Genomic DNA, 18968 nt, shown 5'->3' with positions numbered 1-18968 from the left:
GTCGCCCAGGCTGGTCTCAAACTTCTGGGCTCAAGCGATTCTCCTACCTCGGCCTCTCAAAACACTGGGATTACAGGCGTGAGCCACTGTGCCTAGCCTCTTTATTTTAATTACCTAACATATATGGACTTAATTGTTTTTCTTTTTTTGAGATAGGGCCTTGCTCAGTCACCCGGGCTGGAGTGCTGTGATGCGATCCTGGCTCACTGCAGCCTCAACTTTCCAAGCTCAAGCAATTCTCCTGCCTCAGCCTCCCGAGTAGCTGGGACTACAGGCTTGCGCCACCATGCCCAGCATGGTGTGTATATATATTTGTGTGTGTGTGTGTATTTTTTTTTCTTTTGTAGACGTGGGGTTTCACCATGTTGCGCAGGCTGGTCGTGAGCTCTTGGGCTCAAGCAATCTACCCACCTCCACCTCCCAAACTGCTGGGACTACAGGTGTGAGTCACCACGCTGAGCCTGGACTTAATTTTTAAAACTTGAAAACTTCAGAAAAACGCCAAAAGACCCTCCCCAAGTCAGTAATAATTGTACCCACTCACCTGCCAGAAATAATCACTATTGACAATTAGAGTACCCTGTGTGCATCTGTGTATGCATTTGTATTGGGAATTCTTCCCAAAGCTGCCATTCTGAGCATCGTTATCTAGCCTATTCGTTACACCAAGCGATGTATGATGACTGTGTTCCCACCTTGATAAATGTTTCTACACTGTGATTTTTTAATGATTGCATAATATATCGTAGTGAAGAGGTACATGATTTATTTAACTAATTTCTTCTTGTTAGACAGTTTGTTTTTTAATATTATCCATATTGCTGCTTTAGACATCCCTGCACATTCATCTTTAAGCACATTTCTAATAATTCCTTGGGCTGTCTTTCTAGAGGTGGCATTGGCTCGGGGGAGAGGCGCAATTTTAAAGCTTCTGATTAACTGTTGCCAGACTGCCCCTGGGACGGAATTTGTTTTGTATATTCCCTCCCACCAGCGTTTAACAGCAGTTGATGCTCTTCATTTTTCTCCAGCCATGCCGACACTGGGTATTATATTTCTTTTCCATTTTTATCAATCTGTTAGACAAAAAGGTATCCTGTTTTAATTTACATAACTTAAATAGTGAAGTTAAGCTCTTTTTTTTTTTTTTCAAATTACAAAGCTACTTTTAATACTTTGGGGTGAGCGCCACAGGAATAAAAAACACTGGGAAGGGGTAACCTTGTCACCCCGGGAGTGACCCAGGAGGAGAGAGGCCACCTGATGGGGGAAGGAAGCACAAAAGGGACCCGCTGCAGACTCAGGGCAAAGGGAAGCCATCAGGGCTGGGACTTGTGGGCCCTGCAGGAGGAGACGTGGGCATGGTGGGACTGGCTCCAGGCACTCAGGCAAAGGGCGGGAGGGTTGGACACGAAGCACAAAGCTACTTGGGTTCCTGCTGCTTCTCGTTTGCCTTTTTCTCCTTCTGCTGCATGATCTCCAAGTCCCTCTGCTTGCGGGTGGCGGCAAAAAGCCTGTCATCTTGGTGCTTTCCCTTAACCGAGGCGCGCTCTGCTTTTTCATACTCTTCTGGTGGGGAGCTCTTGCTGGTTACCACAGGTCATGGTGATGGCAGCGGCTCCGACCTGCCTCCGTTGCATCCCCTCATTCTGTCCCATGTTGCAGTGAAGTTAAACTCTTTTGCATGTTTATTGTTTGTGTGTGTGTTCATGTATTTACACGTATATATTTCGTGCATAACTGACTGATATCCTGTGCCCATTTATCACAAGAGTTTTGCATTTCAGTGTCATCAAATCTATCATTATTTTTCAGACATCGGCCGAGTAGGTTTTTAGGAAATGGCTGATTAATCCACCTTGAATTCAGATTTTTCATCTGAGCTTGAATTAAATTGGAAGCCCATCACCTTTTCAACTGAGAATTGTCAAAAAGTGATGAGGCACAGGGATGTCAAGAGTCTGGGAGGAGACTAAATCCCATCAACGTATCTATTCATGGAATGAGAAAACGATATGGATATAAACAGATATTCCTGATGGATCTCTGTGCTTCGGACATCGATCCCAGACAACAAAATGTGCCATTGCAAACCCATTGGGGCTCATCTTGAGTGAATATATTTATGACTCTGAGAATCTTGTTCTTCCTTAAAGAAAAAAAAAGAATAAACAGACAAAACTTAAAAGAACATTTATAAAGCAATTTACTTAAATTATAACAGACTAAAAGCCAGGCTTTGAGGATAATTGAAGAATTGCATTAAAGAGGAATCAATATCTTTCTGGAATCTGTTCTGTCCTTATGAGTTGTTTTGCAAAGGGGTGGACAGCCTATCTGTCACTTTGTTGCAAATTTCTTGTAGCATTATTCCCAAGGTCAGGATTTTATCCCTCTCTTTGAAGGTTTATGTTTTTTTCTTTTCACACAGCCTTAACTCACCCAAACATTTAGAAGCAATGACAGTGGAGAGCAGGGACTTTAAAATGTCAGGTCTTTCTTCCAGCCTCTGAGATCCCGGCATTCGCAGCATGGAAGCAAAGGTTTCCTTCTGCATCCTTACATTGAACCCTCAGAGAAGGTCAAACTCTTAAAAGAGGGTGGAAGGAATGAACAGTTGGTTTTTATATCTTTTTTAAAAAAAACTTTTTCTTTAAATGTTCTTCTTTCCTTAAATACTCTCCTATCCAGCCGTTGGTTTTTAAAAACCTACTTCGTGAGGCCCAAATTAAAGGCATATCTAAATAGCACTAAAGAAAACCAGAAAAGGGGAGAAGACACCCACGTTCCCATCCTTCTAACTGGACATCATACATTTCTCTGCCATCTCCCCTGGCCTTTATCCTTGTGTATTCACATTTCCTCAATTGTCGAATCACCTGCTTCCTTGCATTTCTTTTTGACGTATGTTGTCATTGCGTTTAATGATCCTTATGTTGGGCTGCATTTCAGGGATGGGGTCTTGGATGAGTTCACACCAATGCTCTGTGGTCCACTCGATTTACCCTGGGATGCAGCAGCGCAAGGAAGCGAGGTGGCCGCACAGAGCCGGAGCAGATGGACCGTGTCGTGGCATGGCTGTGTCGCGGGTCCTGGCTCCCTGATGAGCACACAGATGTTGAGGATGCTACTGTGAAGCCACAGTTCTTTGAGAAACAGAATTCTTACCACACCATTGCCCAGTTATGTCATCATTCCAAAATAATATAAGAATAACAATTTTTGGACTTTTGTTTAAGAGAATGTTTACAAATGACATGTGTTCTTAGACCAAACTCAGTAGCTGCAGAGCCTTTCTATAGAGTGGAGGGAGAGAGGTAGGAGGAGAAAGCAGAATGATTGCCCAAGCATCTGTAAAAAGGATCTCCATCTCCAGCTGCATAGAAAAGGTATCTAATTCTAGAAATGTGCTTAGATTTTAGTGTTTATTCACTCAGCAGTGGTTTTATTGAGCATCTACCATGTGAATGGTGTAGTTTAACCCCCGCTTTAAACTTTACATATCTCATTTGCTTATTTACTAATACATTTATAATTAAGATTCTTACTTAAGTCAAAAGTAATGGAGTGAGTTAACCTGAAAAGCACTTCATTAAAAAGGTAGAGGAATCAGAAGTGATCTTGGAAAGTGTGTGTGTGTGTGTGTGTGCACGCGTGTGTGCGTGTGTGTGTGTACGTGTGTGTGCGTGTGTGTGTGTGTGTATGTGTGTGTGGTGCCTTTGATAGGAACAGTATTTATATTGAAATTGAATTCTGAGCCCCCTAGCAACCAAGGCAAAAGGAGAAATTAATGGATTATTTCCATTCTACTAGAGAAATCATTGGTAACTTCAGGAGAGGTAAATTTCCTTATTGGTGTTCAATTCCAAGAAGAAAGCATCCTTTCATTTCTTCACTGTCTCTTTATGTGGAATCTCTTACCATCTCCTATGTTTTCTATTTATTGATACATCTCTGATCAAGCCACAACAATTTCTTGCCTTCCTGGTCAACTGAGAAGAGTGTAGATAATAAAATAATCATTTGCATAAGTAAGTATGTTGAGATATGTACTTTCAGGGACAGAGCATCACGTGCAAAGGCCTGAAGTGGAGAAGAGCTTGGAGTACTTGATCCTATAAGACAGCTCAGGTGGCAGGGCAGGAGATGAGGCTGGCCAGGCATCAGGACCAGGCGCACAGGCCCAAGATGCACTGTGGGGAGTTTTATAGCAGAAGCAATGGGGAGAGTTTGGGGCAGGGAAGGGTCAGAGTCCACGTATGTTTTATAAGGATTCTCTGGTTGCTCTGCAGTGACTGGGCTGAGAGAGGAGGCTGGGAAGCTGTTGCAGTTAGTGGTCCCTGTAAGAGGTAATTAACACAGATGAAAATGGTACAGATGGAAGGAGCTTGGAAGACAGAGTGCTAATTAGGGTTTTACTTTCTCATGACATTAAAATAAGCTACTGGGGCAGAGTCCGCATCACCAATTTCTGTCCTCCCTCAAAGCAGGGCTAAATGGGAAGGGACTTTCCAGTCCATGTGGCTGGACACAGCACCTGCTCGGGGTTCAAGACCCTAAGGGACTTTCTTTTGTTTACATCCTGTGAGGCCCATGTCCTTTTTAAAAACCCTCCCCTGTCTGTCTTGGGCCAAGGTGTAGGATTGGCCTGGTGTTTAAGGGGGTGTGAATCCCCTTAAACTGCTGGTGAGAGGGCAATGGAGAGAAGCGAGGAGAGAGGTATAAAAGCCCTGCCTTTTATCTTCTGTGACCGTGCATAGACACTTCACCACCTAGAATCGCTTTCCTCATCTGTGCAGTGGGAAGAATAAAATGTGGCATCATCGCTGTAATTTTGCTGTTACTAATGCTACCCACTATTTGCCAAGCACCTCCTGTGCGCCCTGCCCAGTGCAAGATGCTTTATGCACATTTTCTCATTGGCCCTCATTCAGTTTACATGACAGCTCCATGAGCATAGGCGTTATGGCCCCTTTTAATAGGTGGGAACACTGAGGCCAGAGAAGTTAAGTAACTTGTCTGAAGTCTCATAGCTAGGAAGGGGTTGAACACTGTTTGAGAATGGCTTTCTAGCAACTGTACCTTCCACTGGAAAACACTTTTGAGGGAGTTCGCACCCTAAGACACCACCAGGTTACCGTTTTCATTTTGGTGCTTTGCAGTGCTTTAGGGCCCAAGATTTAGCCCCCAGATGATTGGAAGATAGAGCCAAGATCTGCCTAAACTGGGAGCTTTTTGGAAACTGTGGAAGAAAGCACGAAGGAGTGTGGATCTCTCCACCAGAGTGAGCACTCCCTTGGGAGAAGGACATTGCGAGGCCTCCACCCAGCCCTGTCCACATTGTCAGGGGAATTCAGGTCCTCTGTAGGCCCAGATGGCATAGTGCTTCCCCCTGCAGGTAGATACAGGAACTACAAAAGGGATAAGGCATGCCCCAGGGGACACTGGCAAGGAAATGTGATTGTCTGTGAATAAAGACTCACTGCCTATGGCTTCAGGAATTCCATTTTTCTCTAGTTTAGGGAATTAGATGCATGAATGCCCCAAGATGGCACATACAAGGATGTTCATCGCAGGTGATGGTGCTAGCAAAAAATGAGAAACACCCTAAATGTCCATTGATAGGAGAATGAGAATTCGGTAGTGGTGAGTCCCTTCCAGGGAATGGGATGGAGTATTGGAAGAGATGAGCTTTATGTCATTGAACTGGTAAGAAAAGATCTTCAAAATACATTTTTAGTGGAAAAAAAGATGGAGCAGAAAATGTTCAGTTGTGAGTTGATTTATGTAATCAGATGATAAGCTTGTATATGTATATATACGTGTTTATAAAGTACAAGAGCAAGTCAGGAAGGGCAGACATCAACACATATCAGTCGTTACCATGGGTGGTGGGTTGAGACTTCCACTCTGGGTTCTGGGTACTGAGTTCTCTACAGTACCCAGAATTTCTTGTTAGACAAAAAAAAAAAAAAAATTTTTTTTTGGTATCTCTTACCTAGGTTCCAGGTGCTAAACCTTTTATATATATATTGACTAATTTAATAATCAGAACTACCCTGTGAGATAATACCTCTGTTATCTCTTTCACTCTCGCTCTCTTTTTTTTTTTTGGTATCTCTTACCTAGGTTCCAGGTGCTAAACACTATATATATTATATATATATATATATATATATATATATATATATATATATATATATATACACACACACACACACACAACACACACACACACTCTACACACACACACACACTCTACACACACACACACACACACTAATTTAATCATCAGAACTACCCTGTGAGATAATACCTATGTTATTTCTCTCTTTTTTTTTTTTTTTTTTTGCCTGGGAAGCTGGGGCACAGATTGGGTAAGTAACTTGCCCAAGGTTACTGTTGGCAGGTGGCAGAGCTAGGATGGAATTCCCACAGCCTACCTCCAGGGCTGTGGCTCTTAACCACACTTTCTTCACTTGTCTCTCCAAATTCCATGTGTATCTAATGTGTCTATGCTCACATTAAAGTGGAGAAGTGTGGACTGCCTGACTACTGATCTGAAAGAGCACTGCTCTGTGTCCTAATTTGAACAGATTCCTGAGGCTGTCTGGCATATAGAAAACTCATTGAATATCTTGTTCAACGATGAATGAATGGATGGTTGGCTAAACGAGTGAAAAGGAGCAGGGAGAGGTTCTAAAGGAAACAGAACATGTAATGTGCCTCAAGGAACTTGTCTTGTAGTCTTAAAGACAAGATCACGAATGTGACTCAGAGCCTGTGGTATAGACGGCAGCACAATCACAGAAGTGTGCTGGATGCTCTTGGAGGACAGAGTCAGCCACAATCTGGGAAGCTTTTCTGGAGGTCGTGGGAAAGGAGCTGAGTGTTGAAGGCAGCGCAGATACGAGGAAATGTGGATTAAAGAAGGATGTTTCTTAAAAAGAAGAAAGTTGGGGGACACGTGTTTGTGTCCATATAGATTCGAGGTTTAGAGAATTTCTGGGACCTCTGTTTGGGAGAAGGAACTGGCAGCCTCAGGAAGGGAATTAGCATGCATTTAGTACCTACCATGTGCTAGGTACTGTATACGCAGTTTACAGTTTCTTAAATCTTTTCAACAGTTGCTTTTAATTTTATTATTATTTTGAGACAGAATCTTGCGATGTTGCCCCAGCTGGAGTGCAGTGGCTCGATCATAGCTCACCGTAGTCTCGATCTTTTGGGCTCAAGCAAACCTCCCAACTCAGCCTCCTGAGTAGCTAGGACTGCAGGTGCACACCATTATGCCTGGATAATTTTAAATTTTAAAAAAAAAATTTTTTTTGTGGCGTCTCACCATGTTGTCCAGGCTACTCTTGAACTCCTGGCCTCAAGTAATCCTCCTGCCTCTGTCCCCCAAAGTGCTGGGGTTGCAGGCCTGAGCTGCTGTGCCCAGGCAACAATTGATATTTATATACTTATTTATTTAGAGACGGAGTCTCGCTCTGTAGCTCAGGCTGTAGTGCAGTGGTGCAATCTTGGCTCATGGTAACCTCCGCCTCCTGGGGTCAAGCAATTCTTCTGCCTCAGCCTCCTGAGTAGCTGGGATTACAGCCACCCGCCACCATGCCTGGCTAATTTTTTGTATTTTTAGTAGAGACGTGGTTTCACCATGTTGGCCAGGCTGGCCTTGAACTCCTGACTTCAGGTGATCCACCCGCCTCGGCCTCCCAAAGTGCTGGGATTGCAGGCCTGAGCCACTGCGCCTGACCAGCAATTGCTTTTTAAATATAGAAACAGGCACAGAGAGTTTAGGCAATTGGCTCAGTGTCACACAGCAAGTCATCTACAGAGCCAACACCATTGTCCGGTGTGTCTGAACACACAAAGCCCCAGCTAGGCAAGGTGCGGCTGCGAAGAGCAGGCATGCATAATTTTTTCCTCCCTTCTGGGTCACTAAGATGGGTCTTAGACCAGTTCTCCTTCCTGTTGTTGAGTCTCTGTTTCCGAAAAGAGAAAACCTTGCCCTTTGAGGTCTGCACCCTGAAATAAGCTGGGTGACTCATCATTACGTGTCCTTGCTTGAGACTTTTTTGGAATACCTCTGTTGCACGTGCTCCTCAGCACAGTGATCTGATAGTCTTGTGACCTTGAGGTCCACCCCATGCTTGCCTTTGGTGTATGGTTTTGAACACAGAAGCATGTGTGCGTCTGCCATGTTAACACATCCCATTAGCCCCCTACACTGTGACCCTCTCCAGTCTATTTCTCACTCCTCTGCTAAGCAGAGAATCATGTCAGCCTGGTCTATGATTTTGGGGTTTCAGAGTTGGCTCCAAAGAGCTGAGTGAGGCAAATTTGCCTCCTGAGAGCATTAATCCAAGTAGCAAGTTATTAAGTTTGAAGACATACACATATAATTTACATTTCCATAATCATAACGTGCTGCCAGAATAGTCATCTGGTGATGGATAGTATCTTAGTCGTGCCATCTGCTGGGTCAGATCGAGATTTCTCTATGATTTGAGTTGGTGGAATGCCCCAGGGTCAAGTTTCACCAGTAAACACGTGATAACAGGTATGGGAACACAGCACTCTAATGACCATCCCTGCATGCGGTGGGCTCTCCCCAGATCTTGCAATTTTCCTTTTCAGCCGTAGCTCATTGAATTCCTCAGTGATAGGCATTGTGCTAATAGGGCTCCTCTAAGTAAAGAGAAAGGAGAATGGTGATCTTCATTTTGCAGGAGAGAAAACAGAAGAACAGAGAGGTTTGGTAACTTGTGTGAGGTGGCACAGCTAATATGCCATTGATTCAGGAAGACTGGTGGATCCTGTGGAGCTGTCATGGCTAGAGAGGGGTGTGGTTGATGGAGAGTCACTAGCGTGCAGATGGATGTGTTGGATGTGACTTACCACCTGCAGGCAGCTTCCTACAAAGAGCAAGGACACAGCCGTGGCCTCGGAGGGGCAGCCCTCTGGCCTTCAAGTCCTGTCAAAATCTCCTGCTGCTGCTGATAGTGCCGAGTTGGGGTGCGTATCCTGCCATAACTGAGATGCTCCAATTGTCCTTCTGGTGTTTTCTTAAACCCTGTGGAACCTCAGAGCCCCCAGGCTCTGGATCTGGTTCAGTGACCTGGTAGCAACACCAGCCAGCATAGCTCAAGTGCTCACTGCTGGGATGGGAGAAACTGAGGACAGTTTTCCAGGCCCAGAAGTCAGGTGCCCATAGGTGCAACCCTCAGCCTGCCTGGAGTTATCCCTGGGTGTCCCAGAGCCCCTGATCTCTCTGCTTTAATGACCTGTGACCACCATGAGAGCAAATACAGTCTTTCCTTCTAAATACAGCCCTGAATCAGAAAGACATAGAAGTTTAACTTGGGACAGGATCTTAGCAAACAGGTCCAACCTGCTCATTGCCAGAGGGCAAAACCAAGACCTAGCAAGGGGAGAAGTAACCCTAGGACACCCACCAAGCTAATGGCACAACAGGGACCTGCTGGGTCTCTGTCTCACAGGCTCAAGCTCTGCTGCCTGAGGCTACTCACTCTGTAGGCTGCTCTGGTGAGAGAAGTAAAATGAGTGGTCTGGTGCACGTAACCATGGGTGAGGATCTCGCGATCCCCCAGGTGGCCTGAGCCTCAGGGATCAAGGTAGCAATGGTGGGTGAGTTTGAAAGGCTGGCAGGGTGGCTACAGGGGAAAAAACATGACCAGCTTTGTTTAGGAAATAACTCTCCTGTTGAATGATGCCCGTTAAAATAAGCAAGCAATGGTTTGTAGAAATGGAGACAAGAAGGCAGTAGGAGCAGAGACCGTCCTCTTCCCCTTCCCTGCATGACCCACACACATTTTAGTGGCATTAAACAGCAATGGATGGAGCTGTTCCTGCAGGATTCTGATGGCCACTGCACCAAGACCATATCCCAAGAGCCTGCGTAGATATTGAAAGTCTGTCTCAGGAATCTTGTTTATCATCAGTTTCGCCAGAAATATAAAAAAGCAGTAGAGGATGATGATTTTCTTGCTCTCCAACACCCAGAAAAAGCCCATATTTATCCCTAAAGAATAGTCATTATCAGAGGTAGATGAATGGTCTACGCTTGAGTGGCTGTCTGAGTTTCTAATCTCAGAGTCCTGTGATGGGGAAACTGAGGTGCAGAGGGGAAGGAGACCCAGGGCTGGCCTCCTGCGTCCTGGGCTGTGCCTGTTGTACTCCTGAACCCTATGTTTCCCTTCCCATCTTGGGGCTTCAGGGTCCCCTTCTGTAAAATACTGGGGGTGGGCAGCCTGTGGGAGACTCAGCGACTTGGCCCAGGCCCTCTCCGGCGCTGGCTCTCTGTGGTGTTCTCATCAAGGGCATTAACCTCTCCGTTCGCAAGGTTGCTGCTGGCCTATTTATAGAACTGACCAAGAGGATTCTACTGTTGCTGGTGATAAAGAATACAAATGATGCTCTGCGCATTGTTCTTTATTCTTTCCTTCCCTTTTTTTTTTTAAACTCCTTGGTCAACGTTTTGCTACCGCATGGTTTTCGATCTCCATGCAGACATGCTGAGGGGGAGGGGAGTGGGCTCTGCCATTTGCTGAGCTCCTACTGTGTGGCCAAGAAGGCTCTGAACTTTATGCACATTGTCTCATTTAACCCACGGTGCCCTGGGAGGTGAGCATTGTCCTTCTCCCCAGTTCACACATGCTGCTTTGCAAGGGGAAGCAACCGGCCCAAGGACTGTCCACTGGTAAGCCGACTGGAATCCCACCAGTGCGACTGGAATCCCATTTTCTCTGTCTCCACAATCCACGTGTGATTTTTCCACTTGCACTCCTCTGTTCCTGACCTGAGCATAACCTTCCAGACTAGATGTGGGTGCAGGAGAATGCCTGTGGATGTTAACGGTTTCTTTTGGGGGCAATATTTACTTTCTTAATCAATCAGGCAGTCTTTTTTCAGGACCTACTGTGTGCCGGATGATTCTTTATCTCTCACCAGGCTGCAAGCATCATTGAGGACCTACTGTGCACCAGATGATGCCTTGTCTCTCACCAGGCATGTGTCGTGAAGACCTTCTATGGACCTGGCTATGCTTTGCTCTTCACTATGCACAAGTTTCACAAATACCTACTGTGCGCAGGACAATGCTATATCCCTCACCAGGCTCAAGTGTCATAAGGACCTACTGTGTGCCACACGATGCCTTGTCTCTCACCAGGCGTGTGTCATGAAAACCTATTGTGTACCAGGCAATGCCTTGTCTCTCACGAGGCTCAAGTGTCATGAGGACCTACTGTGTGCCAGGCAATGCCTTGTTCCTCACCAGGCATAAGTGTCATGAGGACCTGATGTGTGCTGGGTGATGCCTCCTTGTTTCTCACCAGGCTGCAGCCTGTCATGAGGATAGACCCACTTTGTCTCCTCTAGGCTTGGCACACAGTAGGCGTTTGGTCAGCCCTTGTTGAATGAATGCTGTGGTGTAGTGTTGCAGTCTGTCTAGGAAGGAGCAGAGAAGGAGGCAGGCCGGGCGGAACAGCACTGGAGCAGGGAGCTGTGCCCTCATGGAAGAGGGAGCAGGAGGCAGAGACGAGAGGGAGAGGAAAGAGAGGTCAGGAAGACAGGGGCCATGGAGGATGTGGTGGCCTCAGAGGCTTCTGCTGACGTCTCCTGTGCCCTGAACCACTTTCCACTTTGCTCTGGGGGAAGCCCACTTGGTCTCAGGCTTTCTCCATCCTGCCTCTTCACCTTAACAGGGATTTGATTTTCCTGACTGTTCTGCCAGGGGAGCCCTGGGGAATGCTAAAAGAATACTGTAAATCTTACCCTGTGCATCTTCACAAAAATCTTTTATAAAAGCAGAATTTTGGAGAGACGCCATCCTCGTTATCCCTCCACTGGAGACTGGGATTTAGCTGTAGAATTGAGGGCCTGGGTGCCTCCTGGCTCACCCTTCCTCTGCTGAGAGAGGCTCAAATGTCAGGGACTTGCCTCTTCCCGCAGGCCTTGCCTAGCCAGGGCTCCCTCCTGTCTTTGAAAGCTCAGCCCAGGGTCTAGTTTGTCTGTTGAGAGTGTTGGGGAGTTGGTAGAGCTGTATGTGCAAATTGGGGCAAGCTTGGGGGACGCAGAGAGCTAAGTGTTCACCCCCCTTCTTAGGCATATTGTTTTTTTTTCTCTGATATTGAAAGCAATGTGACCTCATTGTGGAACATTTAGAAAATATTGAGAAACAGGAAGAGCAAAATAATAATCACCCATAATCCTAGCACCCAGAGAGAAGCACTGCTAGCATCTTGGCACATTACTTCTCAGTTTTGTTTCATTTTGTTTTTCCAGTATGATTTTTCTCTTAACATAACTGACTTCATACTATAAGACATGATTTATAGCCTTTTAACCCCACTTAACATTAAAATATATCACATTTCCATGGCATTACAACCTTTGTAAATAGGATTTCAATGGCAGCATAAAATTTCAGTGTGTGTGAATTCTATCATTTATTCAAACAGCCAGATGGTGCTGCCATAACAAAATACCATAGACTGGGTGGCATTAGCAATAGACATTTAATTTCTCACAGTTCTGGAGTCCAGAAGTCTGAGATCAGGGTGCCATTGTTCTCGGGTTCTGGTGAGGGCCCACTTTCAGACTTGAAAACTTCCATCTTCTCATTGTGTCCCCACATGAAGAGAGACCAGAACTCTCTCTTCCTACAAAGCTACTGATCCCATCATGAGGTTCCTACCCTCATGGCCTCATCTAACTCCAGTTACCCCCTAAAGGCCTCATCTCCAAAGTACCATCACATTGAGGATAGGGCTTCGGCGTATGGATCTGGAGGGAAATACATTCAGTCCCTAACACAGGCTATGTTTATTGTTAATCCTAGTGCTTAGTGAGTGTCTCCTTGGGTCAATGTCTTCATCTCAGCTGCAAGCGTCTTGTGGTGAAGCAATATGGCAGACCTCAGCTTCCACCCCAGGCTGTAGAGTTTTGGGCTTGCCTCTCCTCACGGTGGTTCCATCTGAAGACTGGGAAATGTACAATAAAGATGGTGTTCCACACTCAGAATTAGTTGCTATAAAAAAGGAACTTCTTTTTTTTTAATTAATTATTACTATTTTTTTGAGAAGGAGTCTCATTCTGTTGCCCAGGCTGGAGTGCAGTGGCACGATCTCAGCTCACTGCAACCTCCACCTCCAGGGTTCAAGTGATTCTCTTGCCTCAGCCTCCCAAGTAGCTGGGATTACAGGTGCCCACCACCACGCCCAGTTAATTTTTGTATTTTTAGTAGAGACAGGATTTTGCCATGTTGGCCAGGGTGGTTTTGAACTCCTGGTCTCAGGTGCTCTGCCTGCCTCAGCCTCCCAAAGTGCTGGGATTACAGGCGTGAGCCACCACGCCCGGCTGAGAAAGGAACTTCTTACTCACTGTGTGGGCAGGCAGTTTCCCTCCATTTCTTCATCTGACAAATGAGATCCTCCTTCCCCTCTGCAGTCCCCCTCCCCCATTGGATTTCATTAGGATTTCATGAGATAATGCATATCAGGTGCAGCGCAGAGTGGCCGACACATACAAGCCCTTTATAAATGTTAAGCGATTGCTATCATTGTTTTTATCTGTCGACTCTGTGCTTGGTATTTTATCAGAGTCCCCAAGATGACACCTGGGTTCAGTGATTCTCTAGAAAGGCTAACAGGATTCAGCATATGGTTGTACCTGTGGCTAGGGTTTATTACATCCAAAGGATACAGAGCAGAATGATCACGGGGAAAGGGTGCATTGGGCAGAGTCCAGAGGAGACCAGGCACAGGCTTCCACGGGTCCCCTCCCTGTGAGTTCCACAGAACACACTAATTCCTCCAGCATCAAATGGTGACAAAGGTGTGGGATGTTGTCTATCAGGGGAGCTCATTAGAGAGCACCCACAGTTTTTATTGGGGGCTGGTAGACATAGACCCTGTCTACTTGTACCCACCTTCCAGACTCCCAGGAGGAAAGCAGGCTGAGCATAAACCATTACTGTTTACAGACAGTCTAAGCACATGAGCCGCATTTCTCAGTCAGGGAATGGTGGGACACTCCCCAAATCCAAGTTCCGAGATGCCAGCCAAAGGCCGGCCTTGTAAACGAGCCTTCCTGAGGATAACAGTGTCAGGCCTGCAATGCAAACTCCTCCGCAGAGGTATCCTAAAAGATCATATTTCTTGTATTTGGACCACTTCAGGATGGGGGTGGGACAGATGTTCTTGTTTTCACAGGACAAAATCGAGGGCTAGAGAAGGAAAGGGACTTCAGGGCTGGCCTCTTCTTCCATGTGGGGCTCCTGAGAAAAACCAAGGTCTGGGCCAGGGGAGGGTGTTCCTCCACACCCCCGGCACCTCCCTTCCTCTAACCTTTGTATCCCTCTCTCCCTAGGCTCTGAAGGGCTCCAAGAAGCTGGTGCTGTCTGTGTACTCAGCAGGGCGCATCCCTGGGGGCTACGTCACCAACCACATCTACACCTGGGTGGACCCGCAGGGCCGCAGCATCTCCCCACCCTCGGGCCTGCCCCAGCCCCACGGTGGTGCCCTGAGGCAGCAGGAGGGTGACCGGAGGAGCACCCTGCACCTCCTGCAAGGAGGGGATGAGAAAAAGGTGAGTGGGGTGGGGAAAGGAGGCCAGCCTCTCAGACACCGTATTCTCCCTCCGAACCCAGAACAGCAGAGCTGCTTGGAGGCCGCAAGAAGAGGCTGGTTCTGTCCAGGCTCTGTCTTCCCTCAAGTCTGTACTGAAGGGTGGTGTTTTTTCTTTGCTTTTCTTTTTGACCTGTGTAGTGTATGTTATAATACAGGCTAAGCTGCCACAATAAAAGAGCTTAAATACTGTGATTTATTTATTGATTGGCTTATTTATCTATTTGGAGACAGAGTCTCACTCTGTCGCCCAGGCTGGAATGCGGTCACGAGATCCTGGCTCGCTGCAACCTCTGCCTCCAGGGTTCAAGCAATTCTTGTGCCTCAGCCTCCTGAGTAGCTGGGATTACAGGCGTGCACCACCATGCCTGGCTGAATACTGTGATTTAAATGAGAGTTTTTTTTTTTCTCCGTCATGTAACAGAATAGAGGGACAGTCTCATCTGGGGGACAGTTCTGCTCCAGGACTTATCCTGGGACCCAGATTCCCTCCATCTTCCATCCCCCAGGGTCTTGCCCCTTCTCGTGGTTGAAGCTGGGCCACATCAGGTCCCCTTTCTACCTCCCAGGAAAGGGAAAGAGAGGCATCTCTTTAATTTCAAGATCACCAAACTTCCCACTGGCCTAGACCCAGGTGCATGGCCACACATAGCTGCCAGGAATGTGGCCAGGATTGCTGCTCCACAGGGAATCTTGTGCAGTGTGAATCTTGGGCATAAGTAACAGAAACCAGCCCTGGCCATTTTACAGAGCAGGGATGTACTGGAAGGACAGGGGCAGTCCCAGAATTGAAGCCGAGAATCTCAGGGTGCAGCCTGCAGTAGGGGGATGTCCACCATTCCGTTCTCAGTGTCCTTCCCCTGAAGATTCCCAAAGAGGGAGCACCTCACGGGCTGGCAGGGATGTCTAGGGACTTTGATTGACAAGACCACCAAGACTGTAGCCAGTGGGAGAGGGGTGGTTGCCCAAAGCACTGTGGGGTGTTCTAACTTGCAGAAGGGGGCAGGGACACCAATAGATGTCCCCTATGGAGCCCTCCTGACCCCAGACCTGTACTGTTTCTTGAAACACAGGAAGGCTGAAATGGTCCCTGATATCTTACCCTTCTCTCTGGGTGCTGTTTGCATTGCACCCCTTGGTTACTCCTGGAACCAAGAACATAGCTCCTGCAGGCAGCTCCCTGGTGTGTAGGACCTTGACACTGACTGCCAGGAGGCCACATGGCTTGGGGCTCTGGGCCAAGTGCCATGCCTCTGGAAACTCTTTCTCAGCTCTCCTTTTCCTGTCGATAAGACTGTAACATTTATTTAATGTGTTTTGTGTTCTTTGCTGAAACGTCAATATGCAGGACGCGGCAGAGATCACAGCAGCTTCTATTGGAGGTGAGCGGCAGCAGGTAGCTTGTTGGTATGCACCACAGCAGCCCGGGCCGCGTCAAGGTTGCCAGGGCTGGGTGGGCTCGTACCCTCTCCCCACCAGGGAACTTGTTCTCTGACAATCTTGAGAGAATGCTGCCAGTGGTTATTGAGTCATGATCAAGGGCAGCTGTCTAGTGTTGGGCACAGAACTTGTTTTATCTTTTTCTCAGTCCCTTTTCTATGCAGGGCATGGGGTGAGTTGAGCTTATCATTGATGGAGAGCCCTTGTGTGCCCAGCCCTGTGCTCACAGTGTCTTCCTGAGTCCTCCTCGCAGCCACACTGGGAGGTAGGTGTCATCATCCCCATTTTGCAGATGAGGAACCTGAGGCTCAGCGCTGTGGCAACCACAGCCCAGCCAGCAAGTCTCCTAGTGTTTGCTGAGCACCTGGGTGCTTGACGATGTTATGGGAGTGGACAAGAGCACTGGGGCCCTGCTCTTGGGAAGCATCCAGAGTTTGGAGGTGGTGGGAAGAGTGAGACAATAATCCCAAAATGAGCACCAGTGAGCAAGATAATTAAGACAGTGCAAACTGATGGGAGGAAGTGAAATCAGGAGCCGGGTAGAAAGTGCCAGGGAGGTACGGGCTGTTTTGATTGAGGTGATCAGGGAGGACTTCTCTGAGGAGACGGCTTCCGAGCTGAGACCTAGAGAGGGAGAAGGAGCTGCCATGTGCCATTCGGGGACTGAAAATCCCAAGCAGCAAGGACAGCATGTGCAAAGGCCCTGAAGTAAGACTGAGGCCAGTGTCTGCAAGGATTGAGCAGATGGGAGGGTGGGGGTTAGGTAAGGTGCCTCTGGGAGTCTCAATAACTCATATAAGAATGTGGGGCTGGGCACAGTGGCTCACACCTGTAATCCCAGCTCTTTGGGAGGCTGAGGCAGGAGGGTTGCTTGAGCCCAGGAGTTTGAGATCAGCCTAGGCAACGTAGTGAGACCCTGTCTCTACAAGTATTTTTAAAAAAATTAGCCGGGTATGATGGCATGTGTCTGTGGTCCCAGCTGCTTGGGAGGCTGAGATGGGAGGATCACCTGAGCCCAGGAGATTCAGGCTTCAGTGAGCTGTGATTGCCCCATTGTACTCTAGCCTGAGCAACAGAGTGAGCTCCTGTCTCAAGAATAAAATAATGCAGAGGTGAAGGCTGCATGAATCATACTCCAGGGAGGACCCAGATACCGAAGGAGGCAGGAGACACCCTGAACCATCCCAGAGACAGGCCGTCCCAGATTCCACAGCCCCAGACTGGCGCATCTACCCTCCTCCCTGTTCCTCCTCTTCCTGACACAGTGTGGAAACCCCATTTCCCTATTGGGAAGGGGCATGAGCTGATGTCTCTGGATCCCTGGCTGCTGGATCCTGGGTAAGGGGCCTGGTGGGGTCTGATTCTCTTCTCTCCAGCAGCCTGGTCCCATCTTCTGATAGTCCAAAAAGCCACGGCCAGACTCTTGGACTCGTAACCATAACCTCCACAGAGGAAGTATACCTCTCAGGAAGTGGGTTCTCAGGGCAATAGTAGCATAAAAATCACACATGTAGCCAAGTTACCCCTGAAAATCCTTATGCCATCCCCTGGAGCTGGTTATAGTTTTATAGCCCTTTTCAGGAGTGTCCTTCTCTGTGCCGTGGTATGAGACCTGTCCCGTGAGGCTGAAGACAAAGTACAGAGGGAAGAACAGATGTAGTGCTTAGGGAGTCAGACGTGGCTGCTCTTAAATCACTGTCAAATCCTCAGAAGTGAACGGGGCAGGGTGCAGAGTGCTCACTGTATGGCTTCCCATGTTGTTCTAACCCGCAGCCTCTATAGCTCTCATAAACTAGAATCAATTTGTCATGGGGGGCGGCTAAGTGGGATAGCATCAGTGTGGCAGGGATGGTAAGACCTTGGGTCCCAGGCTGCCTGGGTTCAAACCTTGGTTCTGCTTACTTTTAATTTTTTTGGATACATACCCCAAAGTGGGCTTGCTGGAGCATATGGTGGTTGTATTTTTAATTTTTGGAGGAACCACCATACAGTTTTCCCTAGTGTCTGCACCATGTTACATTCCCACCAACAGTGCACCAGGGTTCCTCTTCCTCCACATCCTGGCCAGCACCTGTTATTCTGTTGTTTTGAGAGTAGCTGTCCTCGTGGGTGTGAGGTAGTATGAGTTTTTTCCTGATCTGTCTTCACTTTGGGCCTTTATGTGATGCCTTAGCAACATGATGACAGTGCTGAAGGTCACAGCAGGGACGTGGCGGTGTCCAGGGTCAAGGTCAATTCTGCGTCTTATTAAGCTCTTGATCCTAACCATTCCCCTATTTCACCTCCCCAGTGTGAGGAGGCAAGTTTGTGGCACAGGACTTGTTCTGGCACATTCTATGAGGTATAAATGTGATACATGTCCTCTGAAAGGGACAGGGAGAGTGCTGTAGTGTGCAGAGAAGGGAGGTCCTGCCCACTAGAGAAATTGGGGAAGGCTTCCTGGAGGAGGCAGCATTTTAGGTTTGGACATGTGGCAGTGGAAGGGAAGGGTGACCCAGACAGAGGGTACAGCATGACAGTATCCAGAGGTTAGAGAGAGCAAGACAGCTCCTAAGCGATTCCTTTGGCTGTGAAACAAGGTTGGAGAAGTAGAATGGAGTTAGCTCCTGCAGGCTGAGATGCTGGGCTGGGAATGTGTGTGGGTGGGGGACACTTTTTTTCTGTAGACAACAGAGACTTGCTGGGCATTCTCTTAGCTGGCGAGGGAAGAAGGCAAAATCAATTCTAGGTATGCAAAGACCTTTAGCAAGACCATGAAAAAGAAGGTGTGCAAAGCTCGTTTTCAAGAGGGGTGAGGATGGCTAAGTAAAAACACAAAGAACTTCTGGAGCCAGTAATGATGTTTCTTGTTTTAGTTAAGGTGAACTTCAAAGGTGG

The 18968-nt window shown here is 47.4% G+C and overlaps 1 protein-coding gene, 1 long non-coding RNA gene and 1 pseudogene across 30 annotated transcripts in view, besides 1 other annotated feature; 2 read left to right on the top strand and 1 right to left on the bottom strand.

Moving 5' to 3' along the window:
* The window catches only part of WHRN (whirlin), a 103394-nt gene that overhangs the window by 12308 nt on the left and 72118 nt on the right, over window positions 1–18968 (top strand). For all 29 annotated transcript variants that reach the window (XR_929757.3, XR_929750.4, XR_929749.3 and 26 more), the window contains one exon: window positions 14395–14613. Coding sequence is in view for 20 of the 29 variants with exons in the window: in XM_047423168.1 (XP_047279124.1) it covers window positions 14395–14613 (219 nt within the window). In the remaining 9 variants the exon portion in view is untranslated. The remainder of the gene's footprint in view (window positions 1–14394; window positions 14614–18968) is intronic.
* On the top strand, window positions 266–2191 carry LOC124902254 (uncharacterized). The gene is made up of 2 exons (XR_007061743.1): window positions 266–298; window positions 1816–2191. It is a non-coding gene; the product is annotated as an uncharacterized LOC124902254 (long non-coding RNA).
* Window positions 1153–1661, bottom strand: LOC100131877 (small EDRK-rich factor 2 pseudogene; annotated as a pseudogene).
* Window positions 4414–4473: an enhancer, noted in NCBI's record as "active region_28867". NCBI's record gives its function as "activates an Ori minimal core promoter by ATAC-STARR-seq in GM12878 lymphoblastoid cells {active_cell/tissue: GM12878}" and the evidence as "EXISTENCE:reporter gene assay evidence [ECO:0000049][PMID:35858748]".

The sequence above is a fragment of the Homo sapiens genome, chromosome 9 (assembly GCF_000001405.40).
Source record: "Homo sapiens chromosome 9, GRCh38.p14 Primary Assembly".
NCBI lineage: Eukaryota > Metazoa > Chordata > Mammalia > Primates > Hominidae > Homo > Homo sapiens.
Note: the sequence above shows the minus strand (reverse complement) of the source record. Positions and strands in the feature narration are given on the sequence as shown.